Below are 24,798 nucleotides of genomic sequence, written 5' to 3' on the forward strand. Positions count from 1 at the left end.
ACCCATCCGAGACTGAACCTGCAGCTTGTATATTAACACAGTTGAATTCACAGTCTACAGTACTTTTTTCTTTTTTTTTTTTTTTTCTGAGACGGAGTCTCGCTCTGTCACCCAGGCTGGAGTGCAGTGGCGCAATCTCAGCTCACTGCAACCTCTGCTGCCTGGGTTCACGTGATTCTCCTGTCTCAGCCTCCCGAGTAGTTGGGATTACAGGTGCCCGCCACCAGGCCTGGCTAATTTTTGTATTTTTAGTAGAGACGGGGTTTCACCATCTTGGTCAGGCTGGTCTCGAACTCCTGGCCTCATGATCCAACCGCCTCGGCCTCCCAAAGTGCTGGGATTACAGGCATGGGCCACCATGCCTGGCCTACAGTACTTTTAACCAAAAGTGAGGGCAATGGTTGAGAAAGAAAGAAAGCCCGACAAGATGGAACTGGAATAAAAATATCCAGAAATATTCCGAGACTCCCCCGGTCCTACCACTCTACAACACTCCACTGTGCCTCTCCTCCCTTAGGAAGAGTCCTCGCCCTTTGAGGGAAAATAACCACGCTCTCATGCCCTGCTACTACACATTTTTACCTGGCTGGTAACCAGAATTGAAACTCAACCAGGCCTGGGAGTGAAATGCATTATTATGGAAGGAGAATGAAGAATTGCTTCTTGAAGGAAGAGCATGGCTGCACCAATATGTATAGTCATACTGTAAATAAAAACAAAAACAAAGCAAACAAAAGATATGTATAGTCATCATGAGAAGGGACTTAAGGTCCCCAGGCATAGAGGGTGGCGTTTATTTCTCACCTGGAATGAAGTTATTGATTTAGGTGCATTCTTTCAGGGGGTGTGGGCAGCTGCTTTAGCAGTTTGCTGCTTTGGCTAATGTTCTGAATGCTGCTCTGTGCAAAATGACATGGCAAAGCCAGAGACACTTTGGCATAAGACAGAGAAAGAATTCAAAGACTTCAGGAGACAGGAATGCCGCACTGGAACTGCAGTGGGTTTCCCCCTTACCAGCTCCTCCCGCCTCCATGTGGCTCCCGTGAGGGCTGGAAGGCTCTCCACTCACCTTGGCCTTGAGAAACGGATTGGTGAGGAATATGGCAGTCTTTCAAATGGGCTTTCACTGGCTGTTCTCCTGGCCTGGGGATATTGGTGGTACAGGCTGGAGTTGCCTTGCTGATCTCAATGGGAATGAGAGGAGCCGGCGTTGGCTTGGTCCACGTGGCCACAGTTACCTGCCAGAAGCCAAGGAGGCCGGGTAATCATAATAGGCAACAAGGCAGGTGTGCTTATTAGGTTCACAACATGGTTGGTGCAAGGCCCAGAGATCTTTAGTTGTGGTTAATTAGAGGGTTCCCAGGAATTATAGTGACAGGTGCTCCATCCTTTTGTATGCAACCATAAAATAAAAATAGAATAAAATAGACGGGGCTCGGTGGCTCACACCTGTAATCCCAGCACTTTGGGTGGCCGAGGCGGGCGGATCACCTGAGGTCAGGAGTTCGAGACCAGCCTGGCCAACATGGTAAAGCCCTGTCTCTACTAAAAATACAAAAAGTAGCCGGGCGTGGTGGCAGGAGCCTGTAGTCCCAGTTACTCAGGAGGCTGAGGCAGAAGAATCGCTTGAACTTGGGAGGCAGAGGTTGCAGTGAGCTGAGATCGTGCCACTGCACTCCAACCTGAGTGACAGAGTGAGACTCTGTCTCAAAAAAAAAAAAAAAAAAAAAAGAATAAAATAAGTCCAGGTCTAATGAAAATCAAGACATAAGGAAGTCAAGAACTGGTATCTAATTCTGTACGCTGGGTCACTTCATTGATCCAGAGTCTCTCGTCTAGAGACCGGAGACCATAAGTAACATGGTCTAGGTAGCCTTGAGACCCACATAATCACCAAGGCAACCTGGAAGGCTTCTTCCTCACATTTCCCCAAAGAGAAATGTGCCCTGGGAGAAAGAACATACCAAAACCTTTGGTCTACTGGATACTGGATCAAATCTAAGTAATGCGAATTATTGGGATCCTAGGAACCTCGACATCACCATGGTCTGCCCTTTGGAGTGAGGTCTATGTGGATCCAGAGATGGAGTGGGGATCGAGTCCACCAATAGCAAGCCCACCCCGAGGGTCTTTTCTGTCCAGATGTAGATAGATAGATGGATCTCCTCAGAATCAGGCATCATCACCTATTGGCTTGTTAAGGCCTGGAGTAAATGCCACCATGGTGGGCAGGGCCAAAAACGAGACACTGGAACTTCCTCTTTCCTCCAAAATAGCAACCAAAAGCATTGTTACCTCTAAAAAATGTTTTAAGTACACATTTCAGTGGTTGTAGTATATTGTAGATAGTCCCAAACATCAAACACTTGGAAAGGGTGTGCTTGGTGACCCCTGTGACATCCCCACTGAATCTGCAATTCAGCTGCTGCACAGGGTGCCAGTTGAATTAGCCTTAGCTTAATCAGGTGGTTTTCCAAGTGTCGATCCCAACCCAACTCCCATTTTCCTCTCACTAGGAAAAATCAATACAATGCCTGGAAACTGTTATGCACTTTTTTTTTTTTTGAGACGGAGTCTCTCTCTGTCACCCAGGCTGGAGTGCAGTTGAGTGACCCCAGCTCACTGCAACCTCCGCCTCCCAGGTTCAAGCGATTCTCCTGTCCCAGCCTCCCGAGTAGCTGGAATTACAGGCGTGCACCACCATGCCCGGCTAGTTTTTGTATTTTTAGTGAGACAGGGTTTCACCATGTTGGCCAGGCTGGTCTCGAACTCCTAACCTCCAGTGATCCGCCTGCCTTGGCCTCCCAAAGTGCTGGGATTACAAGCATGAACCACTGCACTTAGCCTGGTATGCACTTTTTTTTTTTTTTTGAGACAGAGTCTTTCCCTGTTGCCCAGACTGGAATGTAGTTGCGTGATCCTGGCTCACTGCAACCTCTGCCTCCTGGGTTCAAGCGATCCTCAGCCTCCTGAGTAGATGGGACTACAGGCATGTGCCACCACACCCAGCTAATTTTTGTATTTTTAGTAAAGATGGGGTTCTGCCATGTTGGCCAGGCTGGTCTTGAACTCCTGGCCTCAAGTGATCCTCCCACTTTGGCCTCCCAAAATGCTGGGATTACAGTCATGAGCCACCGTGCCTGGCCCTGGTATATACACTTTTGATTGTGCAAACGCATTTTTCTCCATCATGAAAGAGAAAATACCAGATGATGTTTCCTTTTACTCCTTTACAGTTCTTCTCAGATTCCTCTCTCCTTTTGGAACATACATTGTTCCCAGTGAAATGGAACATTGCACGTAACAGCTAATTGGTCTATTACATTAAAAGCAACACGTTGATAGACTAGGAAAAAAAGAGGAACAGTTATCTTGAAGATACATATATATTATATATCCATATAATATACGGTTGGTACAAAAGTAATTGCAGTTTTTGCATTGTTGAAATTTGCCGTTGGATATTGGAATACCTTCTTCTTTTAACAACATAATGGGTTTATATTTAATATAGTACTTATCAGGAGGGTGTTGCTAAGTTAATGTAAAGTTTTTTTCTTAACATTAAATCTCTTTTCCATGTCAACGTCTATAGTTTTTTTTAACATTAATTTTTTTCTGCATTTCAGTATTAGATACACTGAATACATTTTTCGAAATGTTTTTTCTCCAGAGAAAAAAGTTTCCCTTTTTGGCTGACTCTCTTATATCTAAATACAATATTAACTTGGGAGACAACAAAACAAAAATCTAATAAAAAGATGGAGAAAACTCCCCAACGATTCGGGAGGCAGTGATTATAACCGAACATTGGTGATTTCCTAAGATTCTGGGCAAGAACTTCCTTCTTCCTATTTCACATTCTTTGAGAATTCTAAAACTATGAAATATTACTTATGTAAATTTCAGCTATCTTACTTCTTTGACCTCCTTTCTAACTAGCAAATACAAATGATAGGCTGCATTTTTCTGTGCATTATTTGTTGTAAAGAAAACATATTTTTTTCAATTCATATATGTATGTCTGTTCCCATTTCATGGAAACAACGAAAAATGTAAAACTCCCTTATTTACTGATTCTTGGAAACTTTCAGACCCCAAAGCTCAGGTTTAGCCTCTATAGCACAAAGGTTTTCAGGGTGAGGTTTGACTCAGTAGGCCTTTCACACTCACATCTGTCCATTTCTTTTTCGTGCATATACTCCCGAGCAGCACAAATGCCTGTAATGCTGAGAACCACACCTAACAAGAGGGCGACTGCATCACCGGCTTCTACTGCTTCCACAACAGGCAGCACCAAAAGCAGTGACATGAGGACTAAGGACAACTGTGTTGAAACTGAGGTCATGATGTTGGAATCTTGAGGGCTGAAGGTTCCAAAGAAATGGTGTATATAGAATTCTATCTGACTTGAAATTTTCCCTTCCTGGAGCTCCGGATGCTGAGATTAAGAGGTTCCACGTGACACTACCTTCCAGGAAGCAGCCATTACAGGACTGCAATACATTCTTAAATGTGGTTATGTCATACATCATCTTAATGAGCATTTCTCTCTGTACTTATTTATTTTTGCTAATGACTTATTACTTGCTGTTTATTTTTTTCTTTATTTTAGACTATGGAAATGATGTTAGACAAAAAGCAAATTTGAGCAATATTCTTATTCGAGTTCAAAATGGATTGTAAAGCAGTGGAGACAACTCGCAACATCAATGGCCCAGGAACTGCTAATGAACATACCGTGCAGTGGGGGTTCAAGAAGTTTTGCAAAAGAGAGGAGAGCCTTGAAGATGAGGAGCGTAGCGGCCAGTCGTCGGAAGTTGACAACCACCAACTGAGAGCAATCACGGAAGCTGGTCCTCTTACAACTACACCAGAAGCTGCTGAAGAACTCAACGTCCACCTTTCTACGGTCATTCGGCATTTGACGCAAACTGGAAAGGTGAAAAAGCTCGATAAGTGGGTGCCTCATGAGCTGAGCGAAAATCAGAAACATTGTCGTTTTGAAATGTCGTCTTCTCTTATTCTACACAACAACAATGAACCATTTCTCCATCGGATTGTGATGTGCGACAAAAAGTGGATTTTATACGACAACCAGCGATGACCACCTCGGTGGGTGGACTGAGAAGCTCCAAAGCACTTCCCAAAGCCAAACTTGCACCAAAAAAAGGTCCTGGTCACTGTCTGGTGGCCTGCTGACGGTCTGACCACCACAGCTTTCTGAATCCCGGCAAAACCATTACATCTGAGAATTGTGCTCAGCAAATCGATGAGATGCACCAAAAACTGCAAAGCCTGCAGCCGGCACTGGTCAACAGAAAGGACCCAATTCTTCTCCAGGATAATGCTGACCGCAGGTCCTACAACCAATGCTTCAAAAGTTGATCAAATTGGGCTACAAAGTTTTGCCTCGTCTGCCATATTCACCTGACTTCTCACCAACAAACTACTGCTTCTTCAACCATCTTGACAACTTTTTCCAGAGAAAACGCTTCCACAACCAGCAGCATGCAGAAAATGCTTTCCAAGAGTTTGTCGAATCCCGACGCACAGATTTTTACATTACAGGAATAAACAAACTTATTTCTCTTTGGTAAAAATGTGTTGATTGTAATGGTTCCTATTTTGATTAATAAAGATGTGTTTGAGCCTAGTTATAATTTTAAAATCACAGTCCAAAACCGTAATTACTATTGCACCAACCAGAATATATAGAATATATAACATAATATATATTTGAAATATACTATATAAATATTATATATTATATATTTCATATATATTATATATTTCATATATAATATATATATTTAATATATAATATAATACATATTTTATATATATTATATATTATACTCTATATATAATATAGATCATATATATTCCACATATTATATATATTATACTCCATATATAATATATATATTTCATTCATCATATATATTTCATATATAGTATATTTAGGCAGGGTCTTGCTCTGTTGCCCAGGGTAGAATGCAGTGACACAATCACTGCAGCCTCAACCTCCCAGGCACAGGCGATCCTCTCACCTCAGCCTCCTGAGTAGCTGGGACTACAGGCACGTACCATCACACTTGGCTAATTTAAAATTTTTTGTACAGACAGGATCTCACTATGTTGCCCAGACCGGTCTCAAACTCCGGGACCCAAGCAATCCTCTTGTCCCAGCATCCCAAAGTGCTGAGATTATAGGCTTGAGCCATCACACCCAACAGAGGGTACTTTTTCTGGCTGTTCTGCACCACAGCCTCCTTGGATGGGTAGGAGTGTGTTCATTTATCATCTAGCACACAGGCTGCTGAAACAAGAGGAATAATGTTCAAACATGATCAAAAGGAGTATGCATCTCACACAGTGAAGCTGGGCTTGGAGCTATGTTTTAACTGAATGTGACTGAACATGGTCTTAATTTGTAAAAGAAGGGAGGTTTTGAGTTATTTAAAAGACGCATACGGGAAAAATTTTCAACTTCATACACGCTGGGATTATGAACATGTGTCTGTGCACAGGTGTAGGTGTGCATGAGCCTTTGAAAATCAAAGCATAGGCCAGGAACAGTGGCTCACACCTGCAATCCCAGCACTTTGGGAGGCCAAGGCTGGTGGATAGCTTCAGTCCAGGAGTTTGCTTAAGTCAGGGAGTTTGAGACCAGCCTGGGCAACATGGGGAAACTCCATCTCCATAAAATAAATAAATAATTTTTTAAAGTTAAAATTAAAAATCAAAAAAAAAAGAAAATCAAACGGTGGACTGCAGTGAACATTTTATTGTTTTTGTCTAGTCAGCAGCCCAGATGCCTTTGGAAAAAAGTTACCCTCAACTCTAGCCATGCAATACAGAAGAGGGCGCCAATCAGATCACCCTGGACTTGTGGCCACAGGATTGGGCAAACAATCCAGGCTGATAACAGTTTTTTGTTTGTTTGTTTGTTGTTATTGTTTGTTTTGTTTGTTTTTGAGACGCAGTCTCACTCTGTCACCCAGGCTGGAGTGCAATGGCGCAATCTCGGCTCACTGCACCCTCTGTCTCCTCTGCCTCCTGGGTTCAAGCTATTCTCCTGCCCCAGCCTCTCAAGTAGCTGGGGTTACAGGCATGTGCCACCATGCCCAGCTAATTGTTGTATTTTAAGTAGAGACTGGGTTTTACCATGTTGGCCTGGCTGGTCTCGAACTCCTGACCTCAGGTGATCCACCTGCCTTGGCCTCCCATAAGTACCGGGATTACAGGCGTGAACCACCGTGCCCAGCCTGATAATAGGTTCTTATTGGTAGAAACATTTTAAATGACAAGACATAGAATACCTAACAAAAATGTCTTATGAATGAAAGAAATATAAGTGGCATTTATAAAACACTCCTCACAACAAAAACAGAACACACTTTTTTTTTCAAATGCTTGTAGTACATATGCCAGAGTAGTTTACATTCTAGGAAATAAAGCAAACCTCAACAATTTTTAAAGAATTGCAATTAAATAGAGTATGTTATCTGAACACAAAGGAATTAAAAACTAAAAACCAATAACAAAAAGAAGTCTGGATTATCCTGAAATATTTGGAAATTAACACACTTCAAATAACCCATGAGTCAAAGTCAAAAGGGCAATTAAAGATATTTTGCATTGAATTAAAACGAACAAACAACTTATCAAAAGTATAGGATGCAATTAAAGCAGTGCTTAGAGGAAAACTAATAGCATATATATATATATGCTATCAAATCAATGACCTAAGCTACCACCTTAAGAAACTATAAAAAGAAGAGTAAACTAAACCCAAAGCAAGTAGAAATAAGCAAATAATAAAGAGAAAAGCAGAAACTCATGAAAGTGAAAACAAAAATAATAAAGAAAATCAAACATAAAACTGGTTCCTCAGAAACAGGAACAAAATTTATAAGCCTCTAGCCTGACCAAGAAAAAGAAGAAAACAGATCACTAATGTCAAGAATGAAAAATATTACACTGTAGATCTTAGACATTAAAAGGATAAAGGAATATTTAATACAATATTATGCCTATAAATTTGATAAATTAGATGAAATGGGCAAATTCCTTGGAAAATGCAAACTCCCTAAGCTTACTAAAGAGAAAATAAATAACTTACATATTCCCGTATATATCAAAGAAATTGAATTTGTCATTTAAAATATTTCACTAGCCTGGCCAACATGGTGAAACCCCACCTCTACTAAAAATACAAAAATTAGCTGGGCGTGATGGCAGGTGCCTGTAATCCCAACTACTCGGGATGCTGAGGCAGGAGAATCATTTGAACCTGAGAGGTGGACGTTGCAGTGAGCGGAGATCACACCACTGCACTCCAGCCTCGGGGACAGGGCAAGACTCCGTCTCAAAAAAAAAAAATTTTTTTTCAACAAAAACACTCCAGGCCTAGATGGCTTCAGTGGTGAATTCCACTAAACATTTAGGGAAGAAATAATACAATTTCCCACAGATTCTTCCAGATAATTGAAAAGAAGAAATGTTTGCCAACTAATTTTATGAGGCCATTACACCAATACCCAAACCAGAAATAAACACTGCAAGAAAAAAAATCCTTTAGACCATTATCCCTCATAAACATAGGTAACAAAAATCCTCAACAAAATACTGGCAAACTGTGTTCAGCAACATATAAAAAGAATAATGCATCATGACAAAGTGGGGGAGTTATCCCGGAAATGCAAAATTGGTTCAACATTTAAGAATCAATGAATGTAATTCAATTGACCCAAGAAGAAAAACTATATAAACTTCTCAATAGAAGAAAAAAAAGATAATTGAACAAAATTCAGCATCAATTCATTATAAAAACTCTCCAAAACTAGGAACAGAAGGGAACTTTCACAATCAAACAAAGGGCAATTACACAAAACCTACAACTAATGTCATACTTCATGATTAAAGACTGAAAACTTTCTCCTAAAATCAAGAACAATGCAATGATGTTCACTCTCACCATTTATATTTAACATCATACTGAAGGCCCTAGCCAGTGGAATAAAGCAAGAACAAGAAAAAAAAAAAGCAATATAGATTAGTGATAAAGAAATAAAACTCTTGATTCAAAGGTGACATGATTGTATATGTAGAAAATACAAAAGATTCTATTTTAAAATCTCCCAGAACTAGTAAAGGCATTTGGCAAGGTCACAGTATGCAAGGTCAGTTCAATTAATTGAATGTCTATAGACTAGCCATAAATAATTACAAAAATGAAAAAATTTTAAGTACCATTTATAAGAACACTGAAAATAATGAAATATGTAGGCTAAAATCTGACAAAATATGTGCAAGATCAGCATACTGAGAAGTACCAAACACTGATGAAAGAAAGAAAATAGGATCTAAATAAATGGTGAGATGATCCATATTTTTGAATTGGCAGATTCAATATTATTAAGATATAAATTCCATCAAAATAACCTATAAGTTCAGTGCAATCCCAAACAAAATCCTAGAATTTTGTAGAAGTAAACAACCTGATTTTAAAATTTGTATGTAAAGGCAAGGGAACTAGAAGTGCCAAAATAACAGAACAAAGTTGAAAGACTCAAAATACCTGATGATTTCAAGAGTTACTTCAAAGTCACAATAATCAATACAGTTTGTTATTGCTGAAAGGATGGATACATAGATCAATGTATACATAGATTAATGGAATAGAATAGAATCCAAAGAAAGATCCACACCTATATGGCCAATTGATTTTTGACAAAGAGATGAAGGCAATTCAATGGAGAAATGATCGTCTTTTTGACAAATGATGCTGGAATAATTGGATATCCATATGAAAAAATAGGAAAGTTGACCCAGATGTTACACCATACTCAAAAATCAACTCAAAATGAATCATTGGTGTAAACATAAAAGCCAAAACTACAGAACTTCTAGGAGAAAATGTATGTCACTATGGGTTAGGCCAAGATTTCTAAGATAACATCAAAACACAATCCATAAAAGAAAAATATGAATAAATTGGACTTCATTAAAATTTTGAACCTCTGCTCTTTGAAAGTTACTGCTAAAGAAAATGAAAAAAGGAACCACAGACTTGGAGAAAATATTTGCAAAGTGTGTGTATGGTAAAAGACTTATATCCAGAATATATAAAGATCTCTCAAATTCAGTATCACAAATTGTCAGGCAAATGAAAATTAGAACCATGATGAGATACCACTTTACTCCTGCAAGAACAGCCATAATTTTTTAAAAAAATAGATGTGGTATGGTATGGATGTGGTGAAAAGGGAACACTTCTACACTGCTGGTGGGAATGCAAACTAGTACAACCACTATGGAAAACAGTATGGAGATTCCTTAAAGAACAAAAGGAGAACTACCATTTGACCCAGCAATCCCACTACTGGGTATCTACCCAGAGGAAAAGAAGTCATTGTATGAAAAAGACACGGCCGGGCGCAGTGACTCACGCCTGTAATCCCAGCACTTTGGGAGGTCAAGGCGGGTGGATCACTTGAGGTCAGGAGTTCAAGACCAGCCTGGCCAACATTGTGAAACCCAGTCTCTACTAAAAATACAAAAATTAGCCGGGCGTAGTGGCAGGTTTCTGTAATCCCCGCTACTCAGAAGGCTGAGGCAGGAGAATCTCTGGAACCCAGGAGGCGGAGGTTGCAGTGAGCCAAGATCACACCATTGCACTCCAGCCTAGTTGACAGAACAGGACTCTGTCTCAAAAAGAAAAAATAGAAAAAGACACTTGCACAGGCATGTTTCTAGCAGCACAATTCATAATTGCAAAAATATGGAACCAGCCTAAATGCCCATCAACCAACAAAGTGGATAAGGAAAATGTGATACACACACACACACACACACACACACACACACACACACGCATACCATGGAATACTACTCAGCCATAAAAAGGATTGAAATAATGGCATTCACAGCAACCTGGATGGAATTGGAGACCATTATTCTAAGTGAGGTAACTCAGGAATGGAAAATCAAATATCGTATGTTCTCACTTGTAAGTGGGAGCTAAGCTATGAGAACACAAAGGCATAAGAATGATACAATGGATGTCAGAGACTAGGGGCGGGTGAGGGATAAAAGACTATACATTGGGTACAGTGTATACTGCTCAGGTGATGGGTACACCAAATCTCAGAAGTCACCACTAAAGAACTTATCTATGTAACCAAAAACCACCCGTTCCCCAAAAACTATTGAAATAAAATTTAAAAAATGAGAACAAACAAGCAAAGACCTCAATACAAAAATGGGCAAAATGTTTGAACAAGGATTTGAATTTAAAAAAACAGCAAATATGCACATAAAATGATGCTCCATGGCTCAGTTTTGTTACTCTGTGCAAAAAAAAAAAAAAAAAAGAAAAAAGAAAAGAAAAGAAAAAAAGCTTCTCAATGGCATTAGTCATTAGGGAATTGCAAATTAAAGCCACAGTATGATACAGCTATTGCAAAGACAAAACTAAAAAGCAAAAAAAATCGAGAAAAAACCTGACAATATCAAAGATGACAAGGATGTAGGGCAGCTGGAACTTTCATTTGCTGCTGGCGGGGATGCACAATGATACATCCACTTGAAAAAACAATCTGGGGCCAGTGCAGTGGCTCACACCACTATAATCCTAGCATTTTGGGGCGTGGAGGCAGGAGGATCACTTGAGTCCAGGAGTTCAAGACCAGTCTGGACAACATAGTACAACCTAGTGTGACCCTATCTCTATTTTTAAAAAATTAAAAATAAACAAGCATTTTGGCGGTTCCTATAAAGTTAAACCTATATTTTCCATATGACTCAAAAAACCGAATTCTAGATATTCAAGAGGAATGAAATTCAATTCAAGAGGAATGAAAGCTTATGTTCACACATCAGTGTTTCTGTCTCAAAAAAAAAAAAAAAAAGATGTTACATAACTCCTACTGGAACCACACGACACTACACAGGAAATAGTTTAGCCTTAAAAAATTAAATCTATTAGCCAGGCGTGGTGGTATGTGCCTTTAGTTCCAGCTACTCATGGGAGTTTGAGGTGGGAAGATCACTTGAGCCCAGGAGATGGAGGTTACAGTGAGCTATGATAGTGCCACTGCACTCCAGCCTGGGCAACAGAATTAGATCCTATCTTAAAAGAAACAAAAATTCTGAATCTGACCGAGTTTCTAGATCAACATAGTGATTTCAAGGAAATACAAGGGACAAAAGAACATGTTAAAACACACCATGGGAGCTAATACAAACACGCATACGTATGCATGTTTGTACGCATGTACGTGTATACGTCTATACATTATTTTATAGACAGTCATGTGGTGCTTAACGATGGGGATGTATACTGAGAAACATGTCATTACGCAATTTCATCATTGTGCAAACATCCTAGAGTGTACTTATGCAACCATAGATGGTATAGCCTACTACATACCTAGGCTGCAAACCTGTAGGGCATGTTACTGTAATGAACACTGTGGGCACAATGGTAAGTATCTGTGTATTTAAACATAGAAAAGATACAGTAAAAATACAGTATAAATGATTATAAAAAATAGTACAGCTGTGTAGGGTACTTACCATGAAAGGAGTTTGCAGGACTGGAGGTTGCTCTGGCTGAGTCAGTGAGAGGGTGGTGAGTGAATGTGAAGGTCTAGGACGTCACTGTTCACTACTGTAGACTTTATCCACACTGTACACATAGGATACACTACCTTCATTTTATAACATTTTTTTCTTCAATAATAAATTAATCTTAGAATACTGTAACTTTTTTGCTTTATAAACTTTAAAATTTTTTAACTTTTTTTTTTTTTGAGACAGTCTTGCTTTGTCATCCAGGCTAAGGTGCAGTGGTGTGATCTCGGCTCACTGCAATCTCTGCCTCCCAGGTTCAAGCGATTCTCCTGCCTCAGCCTCCTGAGTAGCTGGGATTACAGGTGCCTGCCACCATGCCTGGGTAATGTTTTGTATTTTTAGTAGAGATGGGGCTTCACCATGTTGGCCAGGCTGGTCTTGAACTCCTGACTTCAGGTGGTTCACCCTCCTTGACGTCACAAAGTGTTGAGATTTTACAGGCGTGAGCCACCATGCCGGGACTTTTGTTTAGCTTTTTGACTCTTTTGTAATAACACTTAGCTTAAAACACAAACACATCGTACAGCCATACAAAATATTTTCCTTCTTTATATCTTTATTTGATAAGCATTCTTCTCTTTTAAATTTTTTTTAACTTCTTAAACTTTTTTGTTAAAAACTAAGACACACTTACAAATAAAGTAAAAACTAAGACTCAAACATACACATTAGTCTAGGCCTACGCAGGGTCAGAATCATGAAAGTCACTGTCTTCCACCTCCATGTCTTGTCTCACTGGAAGGTCTTTGGGGACAATAACAGGTATGGAGCTGGCATCTCCTATGATAACAATGCCTTCTTCTGGAATATCTTCAGAAGAACCTGCCTGGGGCTGTTTTGCAGTTAACTTTGCTTTTTTTCATCAGTAGAAGGAATACACTCTAAAACAATGATAAAAAAATATATAGTATAGGCCATCATGGTGGCTCATGCCAGTAATCCCAGCACTTTGGGAGGCTGAGGTGCATGGATTATCTGAGGTCAGGAGTTCAAGACCAGCCTGGCCAACACGGTGAAACTTCATCTTTACTAAAAATACACACACGCACAAAATTAGCTGAGCATGGTGGCGGGCACCTGTAATCCCAGCTACTTGGGAGGCTGAGGCAGGAGAATTGCTCGAACCCGGAAGGTGGAGGTTGCAGTGAGCTGAGATGGTACCACTGCACTCCAGCCTGAACAAGAGCGAAACTCCATCTCAAATAAATAAATAAATAAATAAATAAAACTTTTAAAAAGCATAGTATAGTAAATACATAAACCAGCAACATTGTTTTTTATTATGATTAAGTATTATATATTGTATATGCTATAGTTTGATATGGGTGGTAGTTCAGTAGGTTTGTTTATGCCAGCATCACTACAAATTCGTGGGGAATGCCTTGTGCTACAACTTTCTGACAGCCATGAGGTCACTAGGCAAGAGGAATTTTTCAGCTCCATTATAATCTTATGGACTGTCATCTATGCAGTCCACCCATGACCAAAATGTCATGTGGCACATGACTGTAGTGTGCATATATATTTATTTTCTAATTAAATGTGTGTGAGTTCAGATACTGAAAGAGCTCTGTATCAATGAGCAGGCCTAGTGGTCATATCTTAGTTCCTAAATGCTGTTCGCCCCCAAACAAATCAGGGCTCCTACAGCATATACAAGATTTGATAATGATAGTAAACAACAATGTTCCTGGTTTTATGATTATACCAGAGGGCTGGTTCGGGGAGCCTGGAGCACTTTCTTGTACCAGAAAGTAAGGAAGTTCTAAAGAAGATGGAGACATATTTAGATGACACAGAAACTGGCTTGAAAGTCTTCCCACTTGGGATAATTTCAATATAAAAAAATGGATAATTATAAAAATAATAATATGAGGCTGGGGATAGTGGCTCACGCTTGTAATCCCAGCACTTTAGGAGGCCAAGGCAGCTGGATCACCTGAGGTCAGGAGTTCAAGATCACCCTGGCAAACATGGTGAAACCCCATCTCTACTAAAAACACAAAAATTAGCCGGGTGTCGTGGTGTGCACCTGCAGTCCCAGCTACTCGGGAGGCTGAAGCAGGAGAATTGCTTGAACCTGGGAGGCCAAGGTTGCAGCGAGCTGAGATTACACTGCTATACTCCAGCCTGGGCAACAGAGTGAGACTCCGTTTCAAAAATAATAATAATAATAATAATAATAATAATAATAATAACTCCTCACTGGTATAAACAGACAAGGGAGAAGGGAGATCTTGACAATAGAAAGCCAGTGACAACATATAGAAGAGAAGATGATGAAATTAGAAAATTATCTTATGGCCCTCGTAATAATTAATTGAGGGAAGATGTATTGATGCATGCTAAAACCAGTGAATGAGGTCAGGACAGAGGGGCAAACCCTCCCGTACGTAACAAAAGTAAAAACTGGATAAAACAACAACAAAAAAACCCCACTATTTAAAGACACGGAAAATGTCCAAAACCAGGCAGAAACTGGAGGAAAGTTTAATATAAAACACAACTGGAAGTGGCAAAACCTGTACATTTGTAACTTTCTGACCTGAGCTTATTCCCCAATCCCCACAGCTACTAGCTGTGGAAATCTGCGGTGAAACCACAGCCTCAGTGTTTCAAGGAATTATCAATCAGAGTGCAAGCGGAGAAACGCAGCTGGGATTTTTTTTTTTAATTAATTAATTTTTTTTTTTTTTTGAGACCGAATCTTGCTGTCGCCCAGGCCAGAGTACAGTGGCATGATCTTGGCTTACTGCAACCTCTGTCTCCTGGCTTCAAGCAGTTCTCCTGTCTCAGCCTCGCAAGTAGCTGAGATTACAGGCACATGCCACCATGCCTGGCTAATTTTTGTATTTTTAGTGGAGACAAATTTTCACCATATTGGTCAGGCTGGTCTTGAACTCCTGACCTCAGGTGATCCACCCACCTTGGCTTCCCAAAGTGCTGGGATTACAGGTATGAGTTACTGTGCCCAGCCCGTGGCTGGGAATTTTAACAGGAAATACTGCCATTGAAAGACTCACTGAAGGAGCGAAACAAATTCTGAATGTAAACTTTGCCCGATTCCCTGGCTGGAAAACAAGCCACACAGGGGAAACTTCTCAGGGTCCTGGTGAAAAAGGAGGCAGAGACCAAGGAGAAATCTCTCGAACGATAAGCTATGTAGGAGGTGAGATCTGTGAGTCTGCTTTCTGTTTCTTGTTCCTTCTGAGTCCATTCCCCAACCATACACAGACTGAATGAACAAGCACGAAAGTCTTACAGGAACGCAATTATCTTAAGACAGACCCGAAAGCCCGCAGAGCAGCTGGAATTAGGCAGGAACCTGCACAAACAAGAAGCCACAGAGATGCTGAGTTCATCACCAAGTTAAGCAGGGACAAGGCTGATCACAAAGTTAAGCAGGGACAAGGGAGACCCCCATGGCCCAGGCTGAAAAAGCAGCAGTGAGAAACTTGCATAGGACAGAGGTCTCAGGTGCTGAACACTACAGGGGAAAAAAAACTTGGTAGTTTGGATCCAGGCAAGTTAATTGCCTATTAGAATGACAACAAGACAACGTCCCTCAGAAGAACACACCAAAATCCAGAGTCCACATTGTATTACTTACACTGTCCAATTTTCAACCCAAAATTATCAAACATGCCCCCCCAAGACCCCGAAAACAAAACAGAACAACAACAACCAAAAAATACCCAGAAAACAAGACAGTCAATAAAAACCGAATCTGACTGAACTCAGGTGTTGGATTTAGCAGACAAAGGCTTCCAAGAGGATAGAAAGATGTTCAAATAATTAAAGGAAAATATGGTATAAATGAATAAGCCGATATAAAATTACAATAGAAAAATGGAAGCTATTTGGGGGGACATTCTAGAGCTCTGAAGTATAATAAATGAAATTAAAATTTTACTAGATGGGCTCAAAACCATATTTGAGATGGCAGAGGAAAGATCAACGGAAATTACTGATCCAAAGGACATAAACATTGAAGAAAAATGTGGGAAATGTAGCACTGATTAGATATTTGATGATATTAAGAAATTATTCTTGGCCAGGCACAGTGACTCACACTTGTAATCTCCGTACTTTGGGAGGCTGAGGTGGGAGGATCACTTGAGGTCAGGAGTTCAAGACTAGCCTGGCCAACATGATGAAACCCCAACTCTACTAAAAATACAAAAATTAGCTGGGCATGGTGGTGGGCACTTGTAATCCCCGCTACTTGGGAGGCTGAGGCAGGAGAATTGCTTGAACCCAGGAGGTGGAGGTTGCAGCAAACTGAGATCATGCCACTGCACTTCAGCCTGGGTGACAGAGTGAGACTCCATCTCAGAAAACAAAAAGAAATTATTCTGTTAGGTATCATAATATCATAGTTGATATAATATGTATCATGGTTAATATATATTATGTGTAACGTCTCACGGTGTGTGTTTTAAATACTTATTTGACATATTAAGATGAAGATGTTTGATAGAAATTTGCTTCAAATAATTATGTAGGGAGGGTTAGTGAGTACTAAATCAAACGTAGATGGCATAGATTAGCTGAATTGATAATTATTGAAGATTTATTATTATTACTAATTTTCTATATGTTTGAAATTTCCTACAATAAAAAATTAAACAAAATTAGCTCAAAAGCAAAAATGTCCAGAAGTAGACTTCAGGCAAGTTTGATACAGCAACTTAATAACATCATCAAGAACCTGCCCACCTCACTTGCCTCCTCTCCTCTCCTGCTCTGCTCCTCCCCTCCCTGTCGCTCTCCCCTCTTTTTCTGCAGTATTGATATCACCTTCTGGCTCCGTGTAATGTGCCCCCAGCAGTTCTAAAATCCCCTTTCAGTTTGGCAAAAGGTACAGTTGACCAGGTGCAGTGGCTCACACCTGTAATCCCAGCACTCTGGGAGGCTGAGGCGGGTGAATTGCTTGAGCTCAGGAGTTCAAGAACAGCCTGAGCAACAAGGCAAGTCCCCATCTCTACAAAAAAAAAAAAATTAGCTGGGTGTGGTAGTGCACACTTGTGTTCCCAGCTACTGGGGAGGCTGAGGATGCAGTTAGCTGAGATTATGCCACTGTACTCCAGCCTGGGTGACAGAGCAAGACCTTGTCTGAAAAGAAAAAAAAAAACCATTCCAGTTTACCAAGGTAACAACCCTATGCCACTCTTCCCTGGGAAAGAGAGTGCCCTGTTGGCTCTCACAGAAGGAAAAGGAAACTTCCCTTTCTCAGGAGGCCCCAGTGTAATTCTCCTGTCAGGCCCCGATTGGGCTGCACATCCATCCTGAACCAGTCACTCCATTCCTGTTGATGGGATACATTGATGGGGGAGAGTGAGTTTCTAAAGGAAATGGGAGGCTATAGAAGGAGGGGAAATGGATGCTGGACAGCAATCCACAAGTAACCTTAAAAACTGCCGCCATGGCCAGATAGATTGGTCCAGAGAGGACATCTGACCTTTGCTGCCACAATCAAATTCCTTCCTTACCAAGGCAGTGGAGTTAGAGAATAATCAGCCTTACCTTTGTGTCATAGGCATGGGAGTATGTGGACTGCCTGAAGCCATCTTCCCTGGTGTGTAGACAAAGTCCGCCTGCCATTAGAGAAGAGGATGCCAACTAAGAGCAAGAAACTGAAGCAATACAGGACGAGGCAGGTTCCTAATTTCTTGTTTGAGTTTCTGGACCTATTCATGCATGAAGCTGGGTCAGCCCACAGACTTCCCAGATACATTAGCCAATATTTGGTTTTCTACTTTTTTTTTTTTCTTTTTGAGACGGAGTCTCACTCTGTCACCTGGGCTGGAGTGCAGTGGCACCATCTCGGCTCACTGCCACCTCTGCCCTCCCGGGTTCATGCGATTCTCCTGCCTCAGCCTTCCCAGTAGCTGGGATTACAGGTGCACACCACCGCACCCTGCTAATTTTTTGTATTTTTAGTAGAGACGGGGTTTCACTATGTTGGCCAGACTGGTCTCGAACTCTTGACCTCATGATTCAACCGCCTCGGCCTCCCAAAGTGCTGGGATTACAGGCGTGGGCCACAGCTCCCAGCCCGTTTTCTACTTCTTATAGCTCAAAGAGCCTGAATGAATACATATGCACTGTGCAGTGCAAGCATGACTGTCTTAGGTCAGGTTCTCTCTAAAGCAGACCCTGAGATGACAATTCACGTGCAAATAATTATTTACTCCCAGGAGAAGTTGATTAGTGAAGTGAGGTGTCATATCTTGCAAAATCTCACTTCATCATGATCCTCTAGGTATCTCTAGAGCATAAATTACACTTCAGAGTTGGTCCTACGTTGAGGTTGGTTTTCATACTCCTGCATGTGTCAGTCATTGGCTAAGAACTCTGCCCCAAGGACATATAAACTTTCCAGCATCTCTGCTCTTGGGGAGTTCTTGGGAGGTGGCATCAGTAACCCAAGATAGACTGAAGATAGTCGCAAGTGCAAGCCCTTAGAAACACAGACCTCAGAAGCTGGGAGATGCATGTGCCAAGCTGGTCAGGGGTTCTCAGAGAACCTGGCTGGAGCACCACAGTGTCCACTACAGAAAGAAAAGCAAGGAAAGAGGCCAAACGGAGAGTCAGGAATTGCTGGGGGCTCCATGCGAACAAGTCTAAGAGATAAAAATGCCAGGGGGACCCAGTCGTCAGGGTGCCCCCCCCCAACCCCCCGCCGCCACTTCTGTGTTTGACCTCCAGGAGCGCTACTGGGTCCTCACAGTGAATGTCAGAGAAAAATCCCCTCAGGCTCCTGGCAGAGGGACGGGAAAAGGAATCATTTTGAAATATACCAGGGCATTCTGTTCTTTTTTACAAGGTCTGTCAACAGGAGAAACTAACCAGAGCCTAACCAGCTGGGCTTTTATCAGAACCTAACTGACCCAGGCCAAAAACAAAACAACAAAACAAAACAAAGCAAAAAAACTCAAAACCTAGGTGGCCCCAGCCTTCCACACGGGAGAAGGGAAATCACCAACTCCAGCCCACTCTGGCTGTTCTATCCCCCTAAGACGAGAGGGGGACTGAGAAGCACTTGTGAAACTCACAGTCTGAGAACACAGGCTCATTGAGAGACTGAGACCTAGTCATAGGACTACAGAATGCTTCTCCTCTCCCTACACCTTACCAACACATTACTAAAGGCCTATTTACAACAGTTCCATTTATCTAGTACATCATGTCCAGCAATCAAGAAAAAATTACAAGATATACTAAAAGGCAAAAAAACAAACAAACAAACAAAAAAAACACATGGTTTGAAGACACAGAGCAAGCATCGAAACCAGACTCATATGTGGTAAGGATGTCGGATGATCAGAACAGAAATCTAAAAGAACCATGATTAGTGTGCTAAGGCACCAATGGACACAGTATACATCATGCAAGAACAGATGGGCAATGTAAGCAGAGAGTTAGAAATTCTATGAAAGAATCAAAAAGAAATGCTAGAGATCAAAAACACTGTAACAGAAAAAAGGAATCCCTTTGATGGTCTTATTAGTAGACTGGACACAACTGAGGAAAGAATCTTTGAGCCTGAGGATATCTCAGTAAAAGCCTCCAAAAATGAGGCCAGGCGCAGTGGCTCACGCCTGTAATCCCAGCATTTTAGGAGGCCGAGGTGGGTGGATCATTTGAGGTCAGGAGTTCAAGATCAGCCTGACCAACATGATGAAACCCTATCTCTACTAAAAATACAAAATCAGCTGGGTGTGGTGGCGGGCGTCTGTAATACCAGCCACTCAAGAGGCTGAGGCAGAAGAATCTCTTGAACCTGGGAAGTGGAGGTTGCAGTGAGCCGAGATTGTGCCACTGCACTCCAGTCTGGGCAACAAGAGCGAAACTCCATCTCAAAAACAAACAAACAAACAAACCTCCAAAAATGAAAAGCAAATAGGAAAAAAGACTTAAAAAAAATAGAGCAAAATATCCAAGAACAATGAGGCAACTACAAAGGGGTAACAGATGCATAGTGTAATACCAGAAGAAGAAGGAAAGAAAGGAACAGAAGAAATATTGGAATAATAATGACTGAGAGTTTCTACAAATTCATGATCCAAACCACAGAGCCAAGAAACTCAGAGAACACCAAACAGGATAAATGCAAAAACAACAAAAACAACAACAACAAAAACCCACACCTAGACATACCATTTTCAAACTACAGAAAATCAAAGATAAAGAAAAAATCAGAAAGAAGTCTAAGGAAAAAAAATCCTGCCTCATAATTCTTACAAAGAATTACGTCCAGCTTCTCAGAAACCATGCAAGCAAAAAGAGAGTGGAGTGAAATATGTAAAATGTTGAGAGAAAAAAACTCTCCAACCTAGAATTCTGTACCCTGTGAAATTGTCCTTCAAAAGTCAAGGAGAAATGAAGAGTTTCTCAGACAAACATAAATTGAGGAAATTTGTTGCCAGTAGATCTGTCATGCAGAAAATGTTAAAAGAAGTTCTTTAGAGAAAAAGAAATTGGTATAGGTCAGACTCTTGGATCTGCATAGGGAAAAGAAGAGCATCAGAGAAGAAATTAGTCAATGTAAAGTAACAATTTCTATTTTTCTTATTCTTAGTTGATTTAAAAGATAGCACTTTCTTCAAAATAATAATACCAACAACTTACTTGGTTATATGTATGCTTCTATATATGCTAATGTATATATGCTTATATATGTGTGTGTGTGTATGCACAGACAGTGTCCCGAGTCCCTGGGTGCAGTCCTTCCAGAGGCCACCGTGACTCTGTCTGTCCTGCTCAGGGGAACTGGTTCATTTCCTCCCACCTGCCCTTTTGTTCTTTTTCACTCCAGGTCATAAGGTCCTGACCATTACGGGGACCCTCCTTTGCTCCAATCAGGTGTGGCCTGGGAGCTGGGTCACAGAAAGCAAGGCAGCATCTCTGGACAGGTCTCTTCAAGATATTGTGACCTGAAGGGAGGTTTGGGCAAGGCGGCCCCTGGCAGTTTCTGCACCTGGGCGCTGAGCACAGGGGGCCCCTGGGGAGGGACCACCCAGCTCCTGCCTTCCCTGAGAACTGCCTGTTCCCCCAGTTGAAGGAATGGTGTCAGCGTTCCATGCCTCAGTCTCACCTGGCCATGGCAGATTGGACTGGGGTGGATACCTGCCCCAAGCCTGGGCAATTACGTTCTCTTTCGCAGGTATTGAAACTGGGACCAGAGACTGTAGTTCAGAGATGCTGGTGGCTGCAGCAGAGAGGTGGTGCAGGGATGCAGCTGGGGAGTCTGACACCGCTTAGCTGCAGGGCTGTGGCTACAATGTGCTTGCTGAGAGACACAATACACAGTACTCAAGCTCGTCAATCAGAGCGCTGTAACAATGGTGAGTTCCTGGTAGCCATTTCGTGTCTTTGGTAGCCCTCTCTTGCCCCAAGGCCACATTTTCTTGATCCAGGAATAGACCCATCATCTAGGTTAGGTTATCAGAGTCTCTAACGCATGATACTGGACTCGAGGCTAGAATATTGCATGGGTTTTTGTTCGTTTGTTTTTAGAGACAGGGTCTTGCTCCATCACCCAGGCTGGAGTGCAGTGGCCCAATCATAGCTCCCTGCAGCCTCCAGCTCCTGGGATCAAGCGATCCTCCCACCTCTGCCTCCGCCTCTCAAGTACCTAAGACGATAGGTGCGAGCCACTGTGCTACTGGCTTTCAGTCTTCACCTGAATAACTTATTAAATGGTGGGGCTTGGATATAGGCACTGTTGATACTTTCTGCTATGTAAACTGAAATGCATGGGACATTCTGTTGAGAGAGGGAGACGGCAGCAGATGCAGAATGAGGAGAGTCCTGACAGCATTCCACAGCCTGTGGCTGTTTTCCCTGCCCACCTGTCTTTGTTTCCACATAAAGGGAATTTATGATAAATCCTCTATTTTCTTTCTTTTTTTTTTTTGATGGAGTCTCACTCGCACCCTGGCTGGAGTGCAGTGGTGCAATCTCGGCTCACTGCAAGCTCCACCTCCCGGGTTCATGCCATTCTCCTGCCTCAGCCTCCCAAGTAGCTGGGACTACGGGCGCCCGCCACCATGCCTGGCTAATTTTTTTGTATTTTTTTAGTAGAGATGGGGTTTCACCATGTTAGCCAGGATGGTCTCAATCTCTTGACCTCGTGATTTGCCTGCCTTGGCCTCCCAAAGTGCTGGGATTACAGGCGTGAGCCAAAATTGTCTATTTACTTAGGTTACTATCTAGTTTGTTTTTTTTTTAAAAAAAACAGAATCTTGCTCTGTCACCCAAGCTGGAGTGCAATGGCGTGATCTCAGCTCACTGCATCCTCTACCTCCCAGGTTCAAACGATTTTCCTGCCTCAGCCTCCCAAGTAGCTGGGATTACATGCACATGACACGACACCCAGCTAATTTTTTGTACTTTTAGTAGAGACAGGGTTTCATCATGTTGGCCATGCTGGTTTTGAACTCCCAACCTCAAGTGATCTGCCCGCTTCATCCTCCCAAAGTGCTGGGATTACAGGTGTGAGCCACCGCACCCGGCTTTTTTTTTTTTTTTTTTTTTTTTTTTTTTGAGACAGAGTTTTGCTGTCGCCCAGGCTGGAGTGCAGTGGTGCGATCTCGGCTCACTGCAACCTCTACCTCCCAGGTTCAAGCAGTTCTCCTGCCTCAACCTCCCAAGTAGCTGGGATTACTGATGCATGCCACCATGTCTGGCTAGTTTTTGTATTTTTAGTAGAGACTGGGTTTCAGCATGTTGGCCAAGCTGGTCTTGAACTCCTGACCTTGGGTAATCCACCTGCCTCAGCCTCCCAAAATGCTGGGATTACAGATGTGAGCCACCACGCCCAGCCTAGTTCTTGAATCCAAATTTCCTTACCAACCCAGCAAGGAAGCGATAAATTGAAAATTTCATTTAAAGGAGTCCCCAAGCCACTCAGTAGTATTTATCAACAGGATTAGGTAAATGTAACATAGTATGGAATTATTAATAATTAATTTCCTCCAATAAAGCTGAATATAAAGGTAAGAGACATTGAAATTATATTACGAAGAGTGAAATAACTGAAAATGACACAAGTGAGATTGTTCTAAAAGTTTCTTAGAATCTTAGGACACATTTGCTCACTCATTCAAGCTAGGTCAAGCAAAAAAAGGAATTAATTGGAAGGACAAAGGAATGGGACCTCATGGCAACAATGGTCAAAAATGCAGTTACTCATGAAGAATCAGTACCTAGTAAGTCAGAAGAGTGTACTGTGGTGTCTCTCAGGAACCACATGACCCCTCGGCCCTGCAGCTCAGCGGTGTCTGACTCCCCAGCTCCAGCCCTGCACCACCTCTCTGCTGCAGCCACCAACGTCTCTGAACTGCAGTCTTTGGTCCCAGTTTCAATACCTAGGAAAGAGAACTTAATTGCCCAGCCTTGGGGCAAGGGTCCACCCCAGTCCAATCTGCCATGGCCAGGTGAGATCAGGGCATGGAACGCTGACACAGAAGCTGGCACTGTCCCTTTAGAAAGCGTTGGGGGACAGGCCGTTCTCAGGGAAGGCAGGAGCTGGGTAGTCCTCCCTGAAGTGCCTCTGTACTCCGCACCCAGGTGCAGAAACCGTAAGGGGCCGCCTTGCTCAAACCTCCCTTCAGGGCACCCGTCCAGAGACACTGCCTTACTTTCTGCCTTACTTTCTGCCAGGTGATCCTGACTCCCAGGCCACTCCTGACTGGAGCAAAGGAGGGTCCCTGTAATGGTCAGGACCTTTTTCAATGGTGAGTCTTGAAATTCAAATGACCTGAAGTGAAAGAGAAAAAAGGGCAAGTGGGAGGCAATGAACCAGCACACCTCAGCAGGAAGGACAGAGTCATGGTGGCTTCTGGAAGGACTGGACCCAGGACCCAGGGACTCAGGACACTGTCTGACCCTCTGTCTTCTCCGCTCGTTTTTGCTTCTCCCTATGGAATGCCCTCATCCTCTCCGCCTGGGACCTCATATGCATCATGCCAGGAAGCACGGCAGGAGGCCCTTCAGATTGATGTTTGACCATCCCTACAATGAAGGCAAAAGCAGCCTTTCTCCAATTTGAGCTTGAAAAATCCTCCATGAGGACTCGTTAGGAAAATATACATATATATATATACACATATGTGACAAAAAATTAAAACAAACAAAAGTGGAAAAATT

At 42.0% G+C, this 24,798-nt stretch overlaps 1 long non-coding RNA gene and 1 pseudogene across 2 annotated transcripts, besides 1 other annotated feature; both read right to left on the minus strand.

Annotated features, from left to right (window-relative positions):
* Positions 1-1,026: 1,026 nt before the first annotated feature.
* On the minus strand, positions 1,027-23,935 carry LOC107985382 (uncharacterized). Of its 2 annotated transcripts, XR_001754727.2 has the most exons (4): positions 23,856-23,935; positions 18,169-18,239; positions 4,741-4,934; positions 1,027-1,238 (listed from the first exon to the last, which is right to left on the minus strand). It is a non-coding gene; the product is annotated as an uncharacterized LOC107985382 (long non-coding RNA). The 2 variants fall into 2 exon arrangements; XR_001754726.2 differs by lacking the exons at positions 18,169-18,239; positions 23,856-23,935 and adding an exon at positions 12,586-12,747.
* On the minus strand, positions 4,170-4,469 carry LOC112268264 (small integral membrane protein 30-like; annotated as a pseudogene).
* Positions 21,727-22,279: an enhancer, noted in NCBI's record as "OCT4-NANOG-H3K4me1 hESC enhancer chr20:57540701-57541253 (GRCh37/hg19 assembly coordinates)". NCBI's record gives its function as "activates a minimal SCP1, AML or CMV promoter by ChIP-STARR-seq in naive H9 embryonic stem cells {active_cell/tissue: H9 hESC(naive)}" and the evidence as "EXISTENCE:reporter gene assay evidence [ECO:0000049][PMID:30033119]".
* Positions 23,936-24,798: the final 863 nt, after the last annotated feature.

The sequence above is a fragment of the Homo sapiens genome, chromosome 20 (genome assembly GCF_000001405.40).
Source record: "Homo sapiens chromosome 20, GRCh38.p14 Primary Assembly".
Lineage (NCBI taxonomy): Eukaryota > Metazoa > Chordata > Mammalia > Primates > Hominidae > Homo > Homo sapiens.